At 36.3% G+C, this 4,741-nt stretch overlaps 2 annotated features.

The window, feature by feature from the left end:
- Window positions 719-919: a silencer, noted in NCBI's record as "peak5157 fragment used in MPRA reporter construct". NCBI's record gives its function as "represses an SCP1 promoter by STARR-seq MPRAs in K562 erythroleukemia cells {active_cell/tissue: K562}" and the evidence as "EXISTENCE:reporter gene assay evidence [ECO:0000049][PMID:32103011]".
- Window positions 2,619-2,819: a silencer, noted in NCBI's record as "peak5156 fragment used in MPRA reporter construct". NCBI's record gives its function as "represses an SCP1 promoter by STARR-seq MPRAs in K562 erythroleukemia cells {active_cell/tissue: K562}" and the evidence as "EXISTENCE:reporter gene assay evidence [ECO:0000049][PMID:32103011]".

Below are 4,741 nucleotides of genomic sequence, written 5' to 3'. Positions count from 1 at the left end.
TTTTACCCATATTGTATTTTTCTTCATTGTTTTCTGTTGTATTTTTAAATTAATATATTTTTAATTAGTAAAATGTGTTAGTCTTCCTGTTCTATGGATTCTGGATTTTCTGTTTGGCTAAAAATTTCTCAAGATTTTAAAATATTCCCTACATTTTCTGTAATCTTATTTGAAGTTTCATGATTACTTAAAAACTATATTCTAATCCAGGCTTTTAGCAGGTTTCTGGTGAGCCAAAAAATAAAGACTTGCAACAAAATATAAAGGGTTCTCCTTTTTAACCTCTTCTTCTACTTGGTGCTAGTTTACTCTGGGGATCTCACTCTCGGTTACTTCCCATGTGTGGATAAAGAAGGCTCAGAGATGCAGCATTACACAACCCATCTAACTAGTGATCCCAGAAGAATGAGGACCCTCTCTACTCCATATAAATTTTGTATCAAATCTCAGTAAAACTTTCACAATTCTGCTTTGTTTTCCAAAACCCTCTCAGACTTTAGTACCAAAACTAAAAGGACAGAAAATTTTATAGGCAGCTTAAAAAATATATTCACTCTGAGACATGTGTTAATTGAGGGAAACTCAATAAAAGCTCCACTGCCCAAAGTTCACTATATGCAGTCAGAGGTGTAGATAAAGCAGACAGCTTGTTAGAAATGTCTCATATTTTAGTTGACTATGTTTAAATTTTATAGTAACATTTTATTATAAAGATAAAAAATGACCCTTGATCAAATATAAATGGGGGAAGATATTTTCAGACTATACTTCTCAAAGGCCTTTTTTGTGGTTCTAGTGGAGCAAGTGCATCAGCACCATGGAGAGCTCCGTGACAAAGCAGAGACAGCATTCCCTTAGTGCTACCATTTCTGTCTCCTTGTTTTCATCTCTTTAAAAAAATTCCCATCTTATTTGTGCATATTCTTCACCTTTTTCACTAGAGTTCTTAATGTATTTTTCATAGTTGTAAAACATTTTCTCTCTGATAGTTCCAACAACTAGGGCATATTTGTCTGGTTTCGTTGGTTACTTTCTTTATTGAGAGTGCTTACTATTCTTGTTTCTTTGTGGTTTTTTTTAATGACTTAGGATTAAAAGCTAGATATCTCACGTAAGCCAACAGAGACTGTGTTAAATCATATCAATGTCTGCCAATAGGCACATTTCTTTTTCTTCTAAGCCTTTGTTGTGGGATGTTGAGTCAACCTATTTAGGAGTTATCTGGGTTGGTTGTGTTGTTGTTATGGCTATGCTCACATACCATGGGCTTCAGATTCCTCCATAATTATCTTGTTCTTAATGTGGGAGTTAATTCTTCTCATGGTTTTACTGAATTTTGCTCCACCCTCAGTTTTAGGTGTTTTATCTGTGCTTGTGCCTCAGAAAATGTGTCTCTCGTGCTCTTGAGCCTCCCCAACAATGGATTGCTGTTGTTTGTTACTCAGTGCATGCCAGCTTTTGGATGGGGAGGGTGGGGTAATTTTCAGTTGTCTTGGTTTAGCATCAGACTTAGGTATCTTCTCAGTGATGCTGTCTCCATGCTAGTTATAGGGCATATCTGTGTACTGTTCCTACCCATCACTCAGGTGTAGAGTAAGATGCCTTCTCTTCCCTTCCCCTAGCTGCAATGGATCTTTACCTGTGCTCCAAACGCAACAGGGTTTACTCCTCTTGTCCCAATGTCTTCATGTCTTTTCTCATAGGGAGGAAATGATCAAGGATCATTCTGAGGTGGTGTCACTTTCCCACATAATATGAAAGGGGGAGGAGCATAGAGCTCTTCTTTTCCAAATTTGCACAAAGAATTCTTTCTCTGGTCTCTCATCCTGACTTCAGTCCTTCTCATAAGCATTCAATTGGATTCATGAAGAAGAGCCTATAAGTGCTAATGGCTCTTGGGTCTGTAGCCTCCAATGTTTATGTATCCCCACAATGGCCTACACGCATTTTAATAATTTATTGAAAATATTACTGTAGTTCTTCTTAAGAGTTTGTACATCAAATGACATCCACTGCAAGTTTCAAGTGCTTAAGACCTGAACCTCTTTAGAATTGTGTGTCTTTCCTTAGGCTTCAGACTAGTGAGTTGTTCTTTTACCTCAATTTTCTGAGAAGCCAGCAAAAGTTATTTTCTTACAGGTTAAAAGGTTTTCTTGTTCAAAATATAAAGAGGTGTCTTTTTCAGCCTCTTCTCTTTGGTGCTACTTTCCTCTTGTGATTTCATTCTCAGTTAGTTTCTGTATGTGGGTAAAGAAGACCCAGAGATGCAGTATTACATAACCCTTCAAAGTATTGGATCCAAGAGGAATAAGGACCCTCTCTACTCCATGTAAATTTTGTATCAACATCCCACACTGAAGGCCTAGAAGCAAAAGAAATGTGTCCATGTGCAGGCATTGATATTATTTAATTTAGTCTCTGTTGGCTAACATGAGATACCAGCTTTCAATCCAAAATCATTAAAAAAAACCACACACACACAAAGAAACAAGGACAGCAAGCACTCTCAATAAAGAAAGTAATCAACAAAACCAGACTCAATTATGCCCTAGCTACTGGAACTATCAGACAGAAAATTTATTTTAACTATTAAAAATACGTTAAAGACTTTAGTGAAAAGGGTGGAGAATATGTATCAATAAGATGGACATTTTATAACAGAGCTAAAAACAAGGAGACATAAATAGTGACACTAAGTGAATGTTACAGCTGCATGTTCATGGAGCTCTCCATGGTGCTGATTCACTTGCTCCCCGGAACCACTCAAAAGGCCTTAGAGGAGTACAGTCTGAAAATATCTTCCCCAGTTTATATTTTATAAAATGTTTTTTATCTTTATGATAAACTATTACAATGAAATTCAGACATAGTCAACTAAAATATGTGACATTTCTAACAACCTGTATACTTTATCTCCACCTCTCTCACTGTGGATCAGAAATCTGGTGCAGCTTGACAGGGAGACTCTAGCTCAAGGTCTGTTATAAGGATGCCATTGAGTTGTCAGCTGTGGCGGCAGTCATCACGAAGTTTGACTGGGAAAGGACCTGCTTCCAGGCTCCTTCCTGAATGTTAGAGGACTCAGGTCTTTGCTGACTTTTGATCTGAGATAACAGTTGATTGTCACATGAACTTCTCCATGGGGTAGCTACATCAAGGCAACTTACTTCTCTCAGAAGCAGAGAGAGAGCAATAGAATGCTGATATAATTGACATATCCTCTGTGTTGCATATTTTATACATTATCAGATATTCACTTGGTTAAACTTTCCCTTGAAAGGAAGAGATTACACAAGAGCATGACAATGGGAAAGTGGGATGCCTGAAGTTGAGAATTATGTATCCACCTGACTTCTTCTCCAAAGAAATAAACTTTTTCCTATGCAAAGCAAATTAATGTTTCTGTGCTGTGGAGTTTGACTGTCACCATTGTTTTAGTAAAAGATGTGCCTGAACCTTCTAGCCTCACTACTGTGCATCTTCACCTTTCTTTGAGCACATAAACGTCTTTACATTTTTTATCAACTTAAAAAGACTTTAAAAGCTTTAAAAAGTTTGACTATGAAAAGAAAAAGAGCTGTAGAGTTATGGCAATATGTCTCAGTCCATATGTTTACCTTGCATTCACTTATTTACCCATTCCAGTCTTACTCTTGTATCTAACTCTTCACTGAAAGTTTACTGAATAATGCTTTTGATGATTCTACCACCAAGTTCATTCAGCACTCTTCAATCCTGATTTTATTTAAATTTTTTTCTGGCATTTGACACTCGTAGTAACTTTTTTTCCCTTGAATTTATCTATGGGATTTACTAAGATCTTTACATTGGTTTAGGCAGGCATCAATTTATACCTGCATTCAGAAATGCTCAAGGTAAAACAAATTCAGCCATAATATGTGAAACAGAACATTGTGAGCTTAATTCTCAAGTCAACTGTGCAGTAAAGTGAATTGAAAACCATTATCTGAAGTTAATTTTGGCTGCTCTGCCTGAGGCCCCTCCCAAGGCTTATGTCTGAATATAGGTTGAATGTTCTACAATTCAGATGCCTTTTACGCTGTTCAGCTTTCATGGAAGGGTATTAATACCTTGTCAGCTCAACATGTGTCTGATGAGTGCCTTTTAATAATTTTCAAGCAGAGTATTGTCAGGGAGTATAATTTTGCATTTATTTTAATCTCTAAATATTTATCAAAATCTCAGTTTGGAGGAACAATATTGAGGAAATATTGATGAAAATATATGCAATCTATCCCCTCTTTTTGATATGCCCAGACACCAACACACTAACTCCTCCCAAACAAAAGAGATCTGTGCATGTATATCACATTATGTTGACCCATAAATACCTGTTATATATTGAGAAGACAATATAATATAGTAATCAAAAACTTGTACTTTGGAGTGAGACAGCCCTGGGTTTGAATCCAGTTCAACAAATTCTTAACTGGGCAATCATGTAAAATGCTATTTCATCTCACTAAACGTAAATGGAATGACAATAACACCCACCTGTATAAGTCAGCTTTCAATCCTAGTAAAAAATCACACTAGTAATATTCATTATACCTTCTCATCCAGCTGAGACTAACAGTTTTCCTAATAGTATCACTAGTATTAAAGTTCTCAGAAATCAGAAGCTTCTTTTATACATTTACACTTAGAAGTTTATCCTGTTACCACAAGGCCTAGTATCTGTTTATCAGTCAGTAAAATGTGTGTACTGCCATCTTCTCTG

The sequence above is a fragment of the Homo sapiens genome, chromosome 4, assembly GCF_000001405.40.
Source record: "Homo sapiens chromosome 4, GRCh38.p14 Primary Assembly".
Lineage (NCBI taxonomy): Eukaryota > Metazoa > Chordata > Mammalia > Primates > Hominidae > Homo > Homo sapiens.
Note: the sequence above shows the minus strand (reverse complement) of the source record. Positions and strands in the feature narration are given on the sequence as shown.